The sequence below is a fragment of the Homo sapiens genome, chromosome 17 (assembly GCF_000001405.40).
Source record: "Homo sapiens chromosome 17, GRCh38.p14 Primary Assembly".
NCBI classification, from domain to species: domain Eukaryota; kingdom Metazoa; phylum Chordata; class Mammalia; order Primates; family Hominidae; genus Homo; species Homo sapiens.
The window spans coordinates 55766289-55781498 of NC_000017.11; the positions used below are offsets into that span (position 1 = coordinate 55766289).

General features: G+C 43.1%; 1 protein-coding gene across 11 annotated transcripts in view; it reads left to right on the forward strand.

Moving 5' to 3' along the window:
• PCTP (phosphatidylcholine transfer protein) overlaps positions 1-15210 on the forward strand; it is a 101665-nt gene that overhangs the window by 15238 nt on the left and 71217 nt on the right. For 6 of the 11 annotated variants that reach the window (XM_047436500.1, XM_047436502.1, XM_047436499.1 and 3 more), the window contains exons 2-5: positions 1047-1164; positions 4818-4897; positions 7436-7607; positions 8504-8571. In XM_047436500.1, coding sequence (XP_047292456.1) covers positions 1047-1164; positions 4818-4897; positions 7436-7607; positions 8504-8571 — 438 coding nt within the window. Of the gene's footprint in view, positions 1-1046; positions 1165-4817; positions 4914-7367; positions 7608-8503; positions 8572-9022; positions 11087-15210 lie in introns of those variants that run through there. The other 5 variants (XM_017024913.2, NM_001330377.2, NM_001102402.3 and 2 more) reach the window with 3 other exon arrangements.

Here is a 15210-nt window from a genome sequence, read left to right on the forward strand (position 1 = left end):
TTAGGGTACATGTGCACAATGTGCAGGTTAGTTACATATGTATACATGTGCCATGCTGGTGTGCTGCACCCATTAACTCGTCATTTAGCATTAGATATATCTCCTAATGCTATCCCTCCCCCCTCCCCCCACCCCACAACAGTCCCCAGAGTGTAATGTTCCCCTTCCTGTGTCCATGTGTTCTCATTGTTCAATTCCCACCTATGAGTGAGAATATGTGGTGTTTGGTTTTTTGTTCTTGTGATAGTTTACTGAGAATGATGATTTCCAATTTCATCCATGTCCCTACAAAGGACATGAACTCGTCATTTTTTATGGCTGCATAGTATTCCATGGTGTATATGTGTCACATTTTCTTAATCCAGTCTATCATTGTTGGACATTTGGGTTGGTTCCAAGTCTTTGCTATTGTGAATAGAGCCGCAGTAAACATATGTGTGCATGTGTCTTTATAGCAGCATGATTTATAGTCCTTTGGGTATATACCCAGTAATGGGATGGCTGGGTCAAATGGTATTTCTAGTTCTAGATCCCTGAGGAATCGCCACACTGACTTCCACAATGGTTGAACTAGTTTACAATCCCACCAACAGTGTAAAAGTATTCTTATTTCTCCACATCCTCTCCAGCACCTGTTTTTTCCTGACTTTTTAATGATTGCCATTCTAACTGGTGTGAGATGGTATCTCATTGTGGTTTTGATTTGCATTTCTCTGATGGCCAGTGATGGTGAGCATTTTTTCATGTGTTTTTTGGCTGCATAAATGTCTTCTTTTGAGAAGTATCTGTTCTTGTCCTTCACCCACTTTTTGATGGGGTTGTTTGTTTTTTTCTTGTAAATTTGTTGGAGTTCATTGTAGATTCTGGATATTAGCCCTTTGTCAGATGAGTAGGTTGTGAAAATTTTCTCCCATTTTGTAGGTTGCCTGTTCACTCTGATGGTAGTTTCTTTTGCTGTGCAGAAGCTCTTTAGTTTAATTATGTGGAATGCAGCTTTCTCTCAACTTGGGAACCAATAGACATTTCTACCTGTTCTGTTTTTATAGAAGACTGGACTTTATGAGTATAAAGTCTTTGGTGTTCTGGAGGACTGCTCACCAACTCTACTGGCAGACATCTATATGGACTCAGATTACAGAAAACAATGGGACCAGTATGTTAAAGGTGAGTGATGCTTGCTTTTCTTTTTTTTTTAGACGTACTTTCACTTTTGTAGCCCAGGGTGAAGTGCAAAGGTAGGATCTCAGCTCACCGCAATCTCCGCCTCCTGGGTTCAAGCGATTCTCCTGCCTCAGCCTCCTGAGTAGCTGGGACTACAGGCGCCCGCCACCACACCTGGCTAATTTTTGTATCTTTAGTAGAGACAGGGTTTCTCCATGTTAGTCAGGCTGGTCTTGAACTTCTGACCTCAGGTGATCCGCTTGCCTTGGCCTCCCAAAGTGCTAGGATTACAGGCATGAGCCGCTGCACCCAGTGCTTTTTTTTTTTTTTTTTTTTGATCATTAAAAAGTAGATCTATTCTGACCAGATGCAGTGACTCACGCCTGTAATCCCAGCACGTGGGGAGGCTGAGGCGGACAGATCACTTGAGGCCAGGAGTTTGAGACCAGCCTGGCCAACATGGTGAAATCCCGTCTCTACTAAAAATACAAAACTTAGCTGGGCATGGTGGCGCATGCCTATAGTCCCAACTACTTAGGAGGCTGAGGCACTAAGAATTGCTTGAACCCAAGAAGCAGAGGTTGCAGTGAGCCAAGACTGTACTTCAGCAGGGACAACAGAGGGAGACCCTGTCTCAAAAAAAAAAAAAAGTCTAATCTATTTTTATTTATTCTTGCCAGTAGAAAAAAATAAAATTAACTTCTACTACATAGTGCTTCCTATTAAATTTTGGCACAAAAGCATTTTAAATGTTGGACTGAAATGCACTTTTGCTATTGCTAGGACTTGCTCCTTACCTAGTTTTAGATCCTCTCCACAGTTTGCTCTTGGGGCTCCTTTGCTGCCACTTTTAAGTTGTGTGATCCTCCCATGTATCTAGGTTGTCATGAAAGGGGAGGAGGTGCGGTCCAAGTTTTGGTTTGAGAGTTGAATCAAAATTTTCCAAACAGAGAAGAATACATGTATGTGAGGAGGTAAGAGAGGGACAGGATGACTGGTTAAGAGCATTCTAGGCTCAGGGATCAGCATTAGTAAGGTCAGGAAAGCGTGAAGCAATATGTTCAATAGCCGCCAGCAGTTTGGTGTTGTTGGGTTGGTTGGAGTAAGAGAACCTATCCTAGGTCTTCGACTACTGTTAGTACTAGTTCTACTACTACTATTGTTAGTACTGCTAGTACTAGTAGAACTAGCTAATAGAACTAGTACTAGTAGTAGTCGAAGAGCTAGGGTAGGTTCTTCTACTACTAGGCGAACTAGGGCAGCTGTTGGGTCCAGATCCTCCAGGGCCTAGCATGGCGACCAGGCTATCGGTCTTAGATTTTTCCCTGTAAGTTATGTGTTATGAAAGACATCACACAGGGACTTCTCCTGCCACTTAGAGCTGGAGTAGCCTCTGCCAACCCAGTCATAGTGGAATGGAACTATGAAACTAGCCAAAGGCACATAAAGCCTTTAGTCAAGACTCTTGGTTGCAAGTAACAGAAAGCCAACTAAAGACAGTGTAAGAAGAGAAAAAGGAGTTTATTAGTTCATGGCATTGAAAAAAGTCCAGGGGTTTCTAACTTTGAGGACAGCTGCAACAGGGAACTTAAATAATTTCATCAGGATTGTTTCTTTCTCCATCTGTAGACTCTGTTTTCTTCTGTGTTGACCTAATTCCTAGGCAGATTCTTATGTCATGGCCAAGATGTCTGCCAGAAGATCCAGATTTATATTCTAACCATATGAATAACCCCAGAGGAAGGAGAATTCTACTTTTCTAGGGATGACAGCCAGATGCCAGGATTGGCTCTTGTCAGCTCAGCTTGGAGTTTGTGCTTATTTTCTGTGGACATTCATCATGGTTTTGGGCAACTTAGTGTTCTCAAATACTCTTCCTATTTAGGGGGCAGTGGGATGCTTACCTATCCAAGGGAACAGCCAGACACTGTCTGTCCAGGCCTCCCTTGCAGCCAAGATACAGTCATGTGACATAGACTCTGCCAATAAGACCCACATGTGGCTTCAATTTGGAAAAGAGCCATGTGAGGAAGCAGGCAGCATGGAAGATCCATTTTTCAGTGACCAGTGATGGCATCTGACTTTAGGGAAAACAACTGCTGAGTCTCTGATGTTTGCTCCCCAACATCAACAGCTTTCACTCTGGGTTCTCATCCAGTGGAAGCAGCAGTTAGGCTTTGCTGGAACAATCTTGAGGTTGGAAATCTCACTCTGGTCCATCCGAGAGCTTTACTAAATCACTTTTTGCTCTCAACTTGCTAGAGTGACTAACTACGACTCTGGACAGATCTGCCATCCCTGAATTCGTCACCATGGCCGTGTCTTGCTCATTTTCCCAGCCCTGAAATTACTGCAGAGTCAGTCTTGCGAAACCATGCAGCTGAGAAGTAGGGGAAGGGTGATGCCCTGAAGGAAAATTGAGATGCTCAAGGGGCGATCAATGCTGAGCATGTAAAAGCAACAGATGTCCACCTCTCCCTTTCTTTTAAGGACTCTCATCAGCCTCCTGTGACCTTAATGGGCTGGCACACTCCTTAATCTACAGTGTGCTTCTAATAGATTTTCTTTCAAAACCTAAATTATCCCTCCTTACCATCTCCTCCAGGGACTTTGGGCTCCTTTAACTGGAGGTAGAAAGAAGTTTACTGCACAGCACAGTCTGGGGACAGAGGGTGTGCATGCCATTAAATTTCTTTGCTATCTCCCTCCAAGAGTTGGCTGCTGTTTGCACATAATAGTAAGACGGAAGGATTATTAGGGAAATTTGGTCACCCTAGCTGTGGCATAGTGCAAAGAAACATGGGAGAGAAGAAAGAAACTTGGGGTAAGCCATAGTTCTGCTGATCTCTAACTATTCAAGAAGGACGTTGCTCATTCTGGAACCTTCATATCCGACCTATGAATGTGCTAGACTGGGTGACTCCGTTCCAGGTTAGCTGTAATGGATCAAGGAATCCTAAAGGGGAATTAAAGGGCTCAGAAGCAAAACTATTGGTACTCTAGTGACATCTGGTGGTTATCCTGAATTTAAAACCTCTGACTATTTTTTTGATGTCTGATTTTGTTTCATTGCATTCTATCAAGAATATTGATTATGCTATAGAATGGCCAAGATTTGTTGGCTTCTTTTATTTGTGCTGTGTTTTTCTATCCACTAGACTCTGTCCCTGGGCAATAAGCTTTCAGTGGAAATTAATCGGTTTGACTTTTTTCTAGAATTTTATACCTTATGAGTTAGTGGTTTATCATAACCTAAGAGGTCATCTTTTTTTTTTTTTTTCTTGAGACATGGTGTCATTCTGTCACCCAGGCTGGAGTGCAGTGGTGCAATCATGGCTTGGCTCACTGCAGCCTTGACCTGCTAGGCTTGGATGATCCTCCTACCTCAGCCTCCAGAGTAGCTGGGACTACAGACATGCACCACCATACCTGGCTGATTTTTTTGCTTTTTTTTTTTTTTATATATAGAGATGGGGTTTCACCATATTTCCCAGGCTGGTCTTGAACTCCTGGACTTGAGCAATTGACTCACCTTGGCCTCAAAAAGTGCTGGGATTACAGGCATGAGCCACCATGCTTGGCCTAAGAGGTCATACCCTTATTAGTTGTAGCTAAAAAGGCTTCCAGATGCATTAACTTCTTTTGCTTTCCTTTAGAACTCTATGAACAAGAATGCAACGGAGAGACTGTGGTCTACTGGGAAGTGAAGTACCCTTTTCCCATGTCCAACAGAGACGTATCCTTTCCACAAGGTACTCATTCCCTGGCCCTCTAAGTGTTTCTGTGTTCCTCAGCTGCAGTCTATTGCAGAGAGGTAGAGCTGGTTTCTCAGCAGGCACAGATAACATTGTCTCTGATTCTTGCAGCAGCATTTGCTAAAGATATTGCTTCTTGTATGGTGTTTGGAGAGCTCAGAGTGTGATTTCTGGGCCCAACCACATGAAGTGTCTGTAATTTTGGTCACTGGAGAGCAGCTCTTACTTTCCTAAGAAGTTTCCTAGGCCTTGAAATTGTCAGGCCACAGAATTGGGGATCTGGAAGGAACTTCTTATAAAAAGTGCTTGTTACAGCTCCCTCAGTCTACAGAAGGAAAAAGGGCTCCCAAAGAGGTGATAGGACAGAGGCACATAGGTGGTTAGTGGCAGAGCAGGTGCTGGAACTCAGGCCTCTGCATTTCCAGCTCTCTCCGCCTCCCCCATCTCAGTAGACCCCACAGAAATCCCTCCTTGATTGTTGGCTCTGGACACTGACTGTAAGCTTCTTCCCCTCAATGTCCTTGTTTATGAAATGAAGCAGTTGAATGAAATGTAGGGAGGCTTGGCTGGCACTGTAAGGTCTTCAGAAGCCCCCTTAGGACTAAGCTGGGGGGCTAGGATGGAATTTTGGGGGTGGGTAGGATGGAAGTAGGATGACTCCTAGGTAAGATTTTGACTCCTTCACCATGCTCTTCAATCCCAGCAGCGGAGTGTTTTACAGGTTCAATTTCCATGTAAGATCCTTTTAGCAAAGGGTCTCTTGGAGTCAAAAAAAAGTTTGGAAGCCACTGAATTAGATGAACTGCCAACACTTCAAAGGTGTTCTGCCAAATTTTAATCACTATATCAAGATAATTCTTCCTCCGTGGAGTATCAGATGATATCTATCACATGAGCTGAGAAAGTTGGGGGAGAGAGTGGAACAATATTTGCTAAAAGGAAAAAGTAAAAGGTGTAGGAGAAAGGAACCCAGTGACAAATCAACATCTCTTTCCTGAAACATTTAAGAACTTTACTTATTAGTGTATAAGAGCATGGAGCAATAGACTGTCCAATGTGAGGGTGGGGCAACAGGGGGCGCTGTCAAGACACTGAGGTGGGACTGAACGCGGGTGGCTCACGCCTGTAATCCCAACACTTTGGGAGTCCAAAGTGGGCAGATCACTTGATGTCAGAGTTCGAGATCAGCCTGGCCAACATGGAGAAACCCTGTCTCTATTAAAAATACAAAAAAATTTAGCTGGGTGTGGTGGGCGCCTGCAATCCCAGCTACTCCGGAGGCTGAGGTGGGAGGATCACTTGAACCCAGGAGGTGGAGGTTGCAGTGAGCCGAGATCGTGACACTCTACTCCAGTCTGGGTGAGACTCTGTCTCAAAAAAAAAAAAAAAAAAGACACTGAGGTGGGTGGAGGCTGAGACGGCTGCCATGTTATAGTAAGTGTAATTGTGTTGTGCGTAGTGACTTTTTGATTATTTTAGGTTTTTGATTCCTTTGAGTGGGAAACCCAAAATTCTGTTTTATGAAAGTGTAACTAACAAACTAAATATCTGAGCTCCATCCAACTATGAAATTCTAAGTAGGTTTTGGAGCCAGATCTGGGATAAAAATTCATGTTTCATCACTTCAGCTGGGATGTGGGATTTTTGGCAAGGTTCTTTTCCTCTCTGAGCCTCACTTTTGTCATCTGTAGTATGGGGATACTCATACCAAACTCACAGGGTCTTTGTAAGGATCCAAATTTAAGCTGTATGTCAAGTGCATGATGTTACATGATAAAGGCTCGATAAGTAGTGATTCCTGTTGTTTCATAGACTTTCATTATCCTCCCTAGAATAGTGCCGTAAACTTAAGGGTTCTTCTGTCAAGGCTGATGGACATGAAATGGTTTTGTTATTCTTGGTAAACTAGTGTTAGCCCAGAGAGGACATCTGCCTACGAAATATTCATGTAGTCCCATGTCTTCCTATGGTCATCAGCTGTAACATTGCTTGACCATTTACTATGCATAAAGGTCAGTAATTAGAGCATTGGGTGAGGCCAGAACAAAGAGGAATGACACCATTGTCTGTCGAGTGCTTACTCTGCCCAGGTCTTTCTCTAATGCCCCCACCAAGCCTGTCTGCAAGGCAGTGTTACTCCCTTTCCTACATAGGGAATCTGAGTCTCAGCAAGGCTGAGTAGCTTACCTAGGACCACACAGCTGTTAAGTGACCATTCCTCTGTCATCTCCCAGTGCCTTCTTGGAGAAAGGAAATGTGGTTTCCTCACATAATTAAAAGCATGAAGGGATCACTCACAGGTAAGTAATACATGCTCTTTGGTGAGAATACTAGGTGGTGTGAGGCACAGTCTTGCAGTGCAGGTATGGAGACAGGGCACGTCAGTGAACTAGTGGTAGAAAGGAGCAAATGCCAAGTGGGAGGCACAGAATCACCTCCCTTTGCTTCCAGCTTGTGGCGCTTTCCTTCTGTCTGTCTACAATGCTGGCGTTGGTGTCTTGCCTTAACTGGCTATGCAGTATGTCTACCTTCGGCAGCGGCGAGACCTGGACATGGAAGGGAGGAAGATCCATGTGATCCTGGCCCGGAGCACCTCCATGCCTCAGCTTGGCGAGAGGTCTGGGGTGATCCGGGTGAAGCAATACAAGCAGAGCCTGGCGATCGAGAGTGACGGCAAGAAGGGGAGCAAAGGTAAAACCCATGGTGCCTGTCAGTGCACCCAGCCAGGGGTCCCCCACGGGAGGGCCAGGCTGATGGGGGGACATGTCGAGTACATGAAGCGTATCCCTGAAGGTCAGAGGACAGGCAAAGCTGCAGAGCAAACCAGGATCAGCACCTAGAGAGAGCCTCATTCCACCCCAACAAACTTGAGTAGAGTATGAGGTTGATGTTTAACTCTGACCCAGTCTATTTTCTCCAGACTCATGGATTGTCCAGATGAAACCAGACCATTATAAGTAAGCCAGAGAGTTTAGAAAGTCACTTCCAGCTGGTCCTGTGGATACATACGCTGGGCCTAAGGGTAGGCAAGAAAGCTGGCAGGTTTGTCTTGGAGGTCTCAGCTCTGGCTCAGTACCAACTCAGAGCTACTCAAGACCTGCCCAGCTTGAGTTTCAGCCCCCAGGGAGGAAAGCTGCAGACAGAGAGTGGGGTGCGAGGCCACCTGCTCTACCAGAATGAGTGTGGCCTTGAGTCCTAGGCAAAAATCTGAACTATAGTTAGATGGTCACCTTGAATATGTCACCTAATTTTTATGAGTATCTGTTTCATCAGTTATAAAATGGGATTAATTTTACCATCTCCTTAGGATTGCTAGAATAATTGAATGAGAGGCTATATTCAAGTGTCCAGCACTTGCCAGGTATTTAATAAATAGCAGCAAAATGTGTCTATGGCTGTTTTCAAAAGTGCCTATATTTAAGTATGCCATAAGGGCAGTCAATGGAGAGAAGTCCATCTGAATTATATGCTACCTCCCTCTGCAGTTTCTGAGCTTGAATATGAAGATATAAAGTTTGCACAGTTTTGTTGCTATATTTTTCTGGTATTTTTCCTTTTTCTGAATTGTCCTTTCTTTCCCTCTCTAGTTTTCATGTATTACTTCGATAACCCGGGTGGCCAAATTCCGTCCTGGCTCATTAACTGGGCCGCCAAGGTGAGATCCCAGGAGGTGGGGCGGGGGGAGGGATGGGGGAGTGTGTTTGACAAATGTTGACTTAGCCCGCGGGGCTGTCAGGCTGAAGAGACACATTGTCTCAGGCGTAATGAGGCTCTTTTATGAAGAGTTTGGTTGAGTGACTCTGGTTAGGGCTGGGGCTGCCAACATCCAAGACGGAGGCTGGGACAAGAGACAAAGAATTGTCAGCTTGGAATGCCAGCCTCTCCCTGCTTGTGCCCCAGGACCCCGCCAGAATCACTCTCTGGAACTTCTGGACAATAGTCTGCTCTTAGTAGGAACAATAGTGCCTTTGGAGCCTATATTCCTCTGCTTACTGGGGAATAAGACAGACTGACCTGGCTTGGAGACAACCAGATGTGTCCAAGCCTGAGGAAAGCTTCCACTTTTGTTGTTGTTGCCCTTTTTTTTTTTTCTTTTTCTCTATAAGGGAGGGAACTGCAGTGGTAGTTTGTATCACTAGAGACTGCCCAGGAGCCTGGCATTATGGGGACCATCAGCCTGCTTTGCACAAGATCTACTACTAGAGAGCTCAACAGATTCCTTGGAAGAGTGAAAAAGCACATCAACTTTGGAGTCAAACAGACGCAATTTCAAATCCTGGCTCTGCTACTGACTGTCTTGTTTTATTTAAGGAAGCCATGCATTTCTTCCTTTTTAAAAATGAAGATAGATGTCTTCTACTGCATAGAGGGGGAGTAAATAAGACAATATTTAGGAAAAGTCTTGCCCAGTGCTCAACATTAACTAAATAATAATATATCCTGCTCCTTGATCCCCAATCCTTACCATTTTCTAATTCAGTAAAGCAAGTGCTTTCATTTCTTTGGAAGAATGTAACAATCCAGCCCAAGCCCATTTCTTGTGTTTTCTTTTTTCCAGAAACACTGTTTCAGAAACATCTTCGCTTTTTCCTAGAAAAAGCTAACATATAAGGCCTTTTTGCAACAGAAGTTCCTGTTGACTGGTCTTACTTTTGTCCTCAGTCCTACTTTTTGTCATCATCTGCAACAACATTCTGTTGAAATCCAGTTAGGGAGCCTATTCATTTTTGTTCGTCCTAAAGCCAACATTGTTTACCTTCTGCCACATCCCAAAGAATCAAGAGTGACCACTGTGAAGACATAGAAATGACAGTCTCATTTCCTTTGCAGAATGGAGTTCCTAACTTCTTGAAAGACATGGCAAGAGCCTGTCAGAACTACCTCAAGAAAACCTAAGAAAGAGAACTGGGAACATTGCATCCATGGGTTGATGTCTCTGGAAGTGCAACCACCCAATGTCTCTGGAAGTGCCACCTGGAAGTGCCACCTGGAAGTGTCTCTGGAAGAGCACCCACCACTGTTCAGCCTTCCCCTGCTGTTTCTGTCTTCAGAGGCCTACACACTACCACATCCTTTCTAAGCATGTTTGCCTGACATCCAGCTCACTCGTCTGCTTCCTTTCTCGCTCCCCCCATCCTGGGCTGGGCTGCCTTCTTCTACAGTTCAATATGGGGCAGACTAGGGAAACCTTTGCTTGCTTACTATTAGGAGGGGAAGTCTTCAGTAGGGAACACGATCATTCCATTGTGCAATTTTACGGGGATGGGTGGGCGGAGGGACACAACAAAATTTAAGAATGACTATTTGGGCGGGCTGGCTCTTTTGCAGCTTGTGATTTCTTCCAGCTTGGGAGGGGCTGCTGGAAGTGGCATTTCGTTCAGAGCTGACTTTCAGTGCACCCAAACTGGATGACGTGCCAATGTCCATTTGCCTTATGCTTTGTGGAGCTGATTAGGCTGGGATTTGAGGTGATAATCCAGTAAGTCTTTCCTCGTTCCTACTTGTGGAGGATCAGTAGCTGTTATGATGCCAGACCATTTGGAGAAGTATCAGAGGCCTGACCGGACACATAATATGACAACCACATTTTTCCTCATCATCCATGAGGAAATGGATGATTTCTCTTTTCCATATGTCACTGGGGGAAAGGCTGCCTGTACCTCTCAAGCTTTGCATTTTACTGGAAACTGAGGCGTCAAGATGGCTGTGGCAGCTAGCAAAAGCAAAGATGCTTTGTGCATAGCCTTGTGAAAAAGTATCTTTCTATGCAATAAGATGAATTTTCCTCCCAGAATATTTAGAAATGTAGAAGGGATAACAGTTCACAGCCAGGTAAAATTTAACTGGTGGCTTAATGACTCTGCACCTTTTTCTCAGGAATTCTGCCTAAGTTGTCTGCCTTTTCTACCACCAAAAAGACTTTTAGTTTTCTATGCTTTCTCCTGAATTTTGGTAGGGTAAGGTATTTCTATGTCAAAGGCACAGCCTTGATGATCTCAGGGAAAAATTTTAATCACTGTGTATAATGATACTGAACCTTGATTAATAACAGAAATTCAGGATGTAAAGCCACAGAATGGGATTTATTAATGTGGGATACCTCAGACTGTTTGTTTTCTTTCTGGGAAGAAAAGTGTGTTCTATAATGAATAAATATAGAGTGGTTTTTACTTGTCCTGTGTACCACTTCCTTCCTACCTTCTTCCTTTTGTGAGTGTGCATCAGTTAGATCTCCTTTATTTGCAAGTGATATTCAGCCTAATTTGTAGACTTAAACATAAAACATAATTTTGGGCTTACTTATATGCATGATCAGGTGTAGGTATCTTCATGTAGGGATCAATACAGGTGCTCAAACTGAGATTAGAATTCAGATCGTTTAGTATTGGTCTGCATTTCCTGGTAGCATTGTCGCTAACAGCAATAGGTAGGTTTGCATCTTCCTAGGCTCATGCCAAGCAAAACAAAAAAGACAATGTTTCTTTCTAGTAGGACCTGCACTTTCCATAACTTAGAGCACCTCTAAAACATATGCTTATCTATGCCCTGCTCATTATGGTCATCTGGATAGAATTATACAAGTAAGTGAATGCCTCATAAAATTATCATTAAAATATCATTATCAATAATGTAGCTGAAATCTATTCTAGATAAACTAAATCTGAATACTTCCTGTTAATAGAAGTCAAGTTGAAATCTTATGAATAGATTATTTGAAATAAAAGCACTGAGATTATAGTCACTGAAAGAGAATTGGCATGAAATGGTGTCATGTAAACCATTTCTTTAAATAACATTAAATAATTTGCTAAGAACTCTGAAAATACTAAGAATGCTGAGTTTCTAGGTAAGGTACTTATTTTAAAAGGTTACAGTGTTTGCTGTAATGAATGGAGTTAAGACTTTTTAGCATTTTTACTTGCTAATTTAGAGTAGTGGACAGTCCTCACGAGCTGAGGTTATGTAGGAAACTGAAAACTCTTGAGCTATAGTAAGTGCCAAAGTCAAAAAAAAAAAAAAAAAATAGAACTGGTGGTTTAGGCCTTTACTTAGAGGGACTTGCACCTGAGTTCTCAGGGTGTGTTTTTCTGCAGCAGCTGGATGTATCACTTGGAATTTGTAAGTTATATTGTCATTCCTCTAGCACTTTGTTTTACTTATTTTTCCCATATCTGTGTTTCCAAGTAGACAACCAGCATTTGTGGATAGAAGCAGTTATATCACTTTGATTACTGGTCCTTGGGGTAGTATATAGTAGGCACTCGAATGGTGACTAAATGAGTGAATGAATGATTTAGAGAAGATTGACCAAATGGCATGAACCTGGAAGACTAAATCCATTCAGCTATAGAGGCTCAATCCCCATGGATTCAAGCCAAATTATTCCCCAAGTCAGCGTTTTGTGGGGTGCGGGGTGGGCGGTTTCTAGATTTCCCAGGTTCCCATTGGTCCTTCCTTGAAGTACCAAGGTCCTCTCTCTGTTAAGGGGTGGCTTTGCTGGTGTGGCTATGGGTTATAGTATAATGTTAGAGAAATGGCACAGTTTGAATTGAGTCCGGCTGAGATTAGTCAGGATTCCAGTTGAAATTTAATGGCAAAAGTAGCACTACTGTTGGTGGTAAATTTTTTCCACAGGCAAATTATTCACACTGCATAACAATTCAAAGTTAATGACCACCTTGGAACCGAGGAGTTCCAGCAGAGGGTCACTTCCCTTGAAAATGTTCCTATTTCACAGCAAGAGTCCTGGCCTGACTCCCTGGCTGAGATTCCTCACCCAGAATCCCCATCTATAATGCCTGCCCTTCCAACCTCCCACTTCCTAGCTGGACTTGCAAGAGATGAGGCAGGAAGAGCCCCATTCAGTTCTCACATTTCTAGTGGCACCACCCAGTCACCTCAGAGAATTATCTTTAAATGCATCGAGACATTTAGTTCTTTAACAGATATTTCTCAAGAGGCTGGAGTCCATCAGCATTGGGATAGGCATGGCATTTGTGGGATGAATGAGAAAGATATGGTGCCTGCCCTTAAGGTGCTTATGGTCTAATGAAAACTCAGTGAATAAGCTGCTGAAGGATGATAAGTGCTCAGAAAAGGAAAATAAAAGGTGCTGTCAAAAAAAGGGCAGTAACCAAGTTTGAGGAGCAGAGGAGAACATGTTGGAATTGTGGCTGGATGAAGGTTGCAGAAGAAAGCTGTTCATGACAGAAGAACCATTTGCACAAAACCTCTAAGGAGGAAGGACTCAGCAGGAGAGTCAGTCACATGTGAAGAATGACAGAAGGCCAGTGTGGCTGGAGCGCTGACATGAAGGAGAGGCATCTTGTATGTGGCTGGAGAAGTAGACAAGCCATGTAGGGTCCTGAGAGCAATGGCAAGGATTTGGGACTTTATCCCAAGAGTCTCAATAAGCTTTGAAAGATTTGAGATTGAGGAGTGACCTAAAAATATGTATTATTCTTAACACCATTCATTTTTCTCCATGATTCCCCAGCATCTCTGACAGCCTCTCCAGTAGCATTGTGTGGGGCTACTCAAGGTGCTTTAAGCCCTATTACTTTGAATCCTCTCCATTGTGAGGCAGCATGCAGAGTAGCCCATACTTAAATCAAGTTTCCAAAGTGGAACATCAGCTTCTGAAGTTTAACTGAAAAACAAAAGGCTGGAGGGAGGGGACCACCCATGCACATCCCCTCTGTCTCTATTGGCCCATGTTGGGGCGCAGCATACCCTCCCACACATCTGCATCATGCAGCCCATCAGAGCAGAGCCATTTAAGGGGCCAGAAGTGGGAGAGAAAAAATGAAAGGCAAAAAAATGTAAGCAGGTCCACTTTCCCCAAGTTCCTTTTTTTTATATTCATCCTTAACTGCAAGGAAGAACTTTTTTTTTTTTTTTTGCTTGAGAAGACAGAAGCATAACATATTGTTTGTTTAGGTTGCAGAGTTTAGAACCAACAAAATGGGAGGACTTCAGAAAAATTATTTACATTGCTCATCTATTTATATATGTGTATGTCCATGTGTGTCTCTTTGGATACACATAATAGATGCTGCATTTCATAAGATATAATAATGGAACAACAATTAAACAGTACACTATGTAAGTACACTATGTAAACTTTCTAAGTTTCCTGTGTGATATGCCAGGCCCACTGCCAGGCAGTGGAGTACATAAAGGTGGGATGCAGTGACTTTAGAATTAGTAGACAACAGATCCTGTAGGACAATGAGCAGTTTGCTACAAGCTCTTAAAGTATTACATTTTCCTTCCATCCGATGGTGGTTGCATCCTTTCTGATTATTATAAACACTTGTGCACATATTCCATGTCCTCTGCAGACTGCTATAATTCCTGAATGGAAGAATCTGCCCCACATTCATGTAGTCCACTGCTTAGCAATGGACCTGGCATGACATGTAGAAAACTTGGAGTCACTCATATAGCATACTGCTTAGTTGTTGTGTTATTGTATCTTATGATTGCAAAGTCAGTGCATTTTAGCTGAGTGCACAGCCACCCAGCCACCCTTGCAGTAAAGTGTGGCCATGGTATGTAATTCTGGCCAATATCATATGAGCATAAATAATATGTGCCACTTCCAGCTCAGGATCTTAAAAGGAAAAGGTATGAACTCAGCTTGTTCTTGCCTCCTTCACCATGTCTGGGAAATGATGAGAACTGGAACAAATGCCCTGGAATCAAGGATGAAAGCCTAGGATTAAGGATGACAAAATAACTCTGCCTCCCTTGGACTGTTACAAGAGAGAGAAATAGACTTCTTTCTTATTTAAGCCACAGCATGTAAAAAAAAAAAAAAAAATAGCAGCTTTGCCTATACCAACTCATGAATAGCTCAAAAAGAGTGTCCCTTTGGACCAGGAGATCAGGAACCAGCTCAAATCCTCCTCATCTATAGACTTTGGATCTCCTGGCCTGTGCCAAACAATAAGTGATCTGCAAATTTCTGACTTGTTCCAGTTTCATTTAATGTGATCAATAAATGTTGGCTGTTATTAGCTGTTACTCCCAATTGTACATCTCTATCTGCCTCCCGTTCTCCTGCCCCATGCTTTGCCTCAGGCTACTCTTTTTGTCTATGTTGGAAATCTTCCCCAACTTTTGTGAAATTTCTGTCAAAATTGAAGGCTTACTATAAATCTATTCCCTCTAAGATATTCCTTGGATTTAGAAAAAACTTAATCTATGATGGTGCTGAATAAATGAAATCCAGCACCTTCAGATTGGAGCTACTTCTATGAATCACCTTTGATAGACACTGTATTAGTCC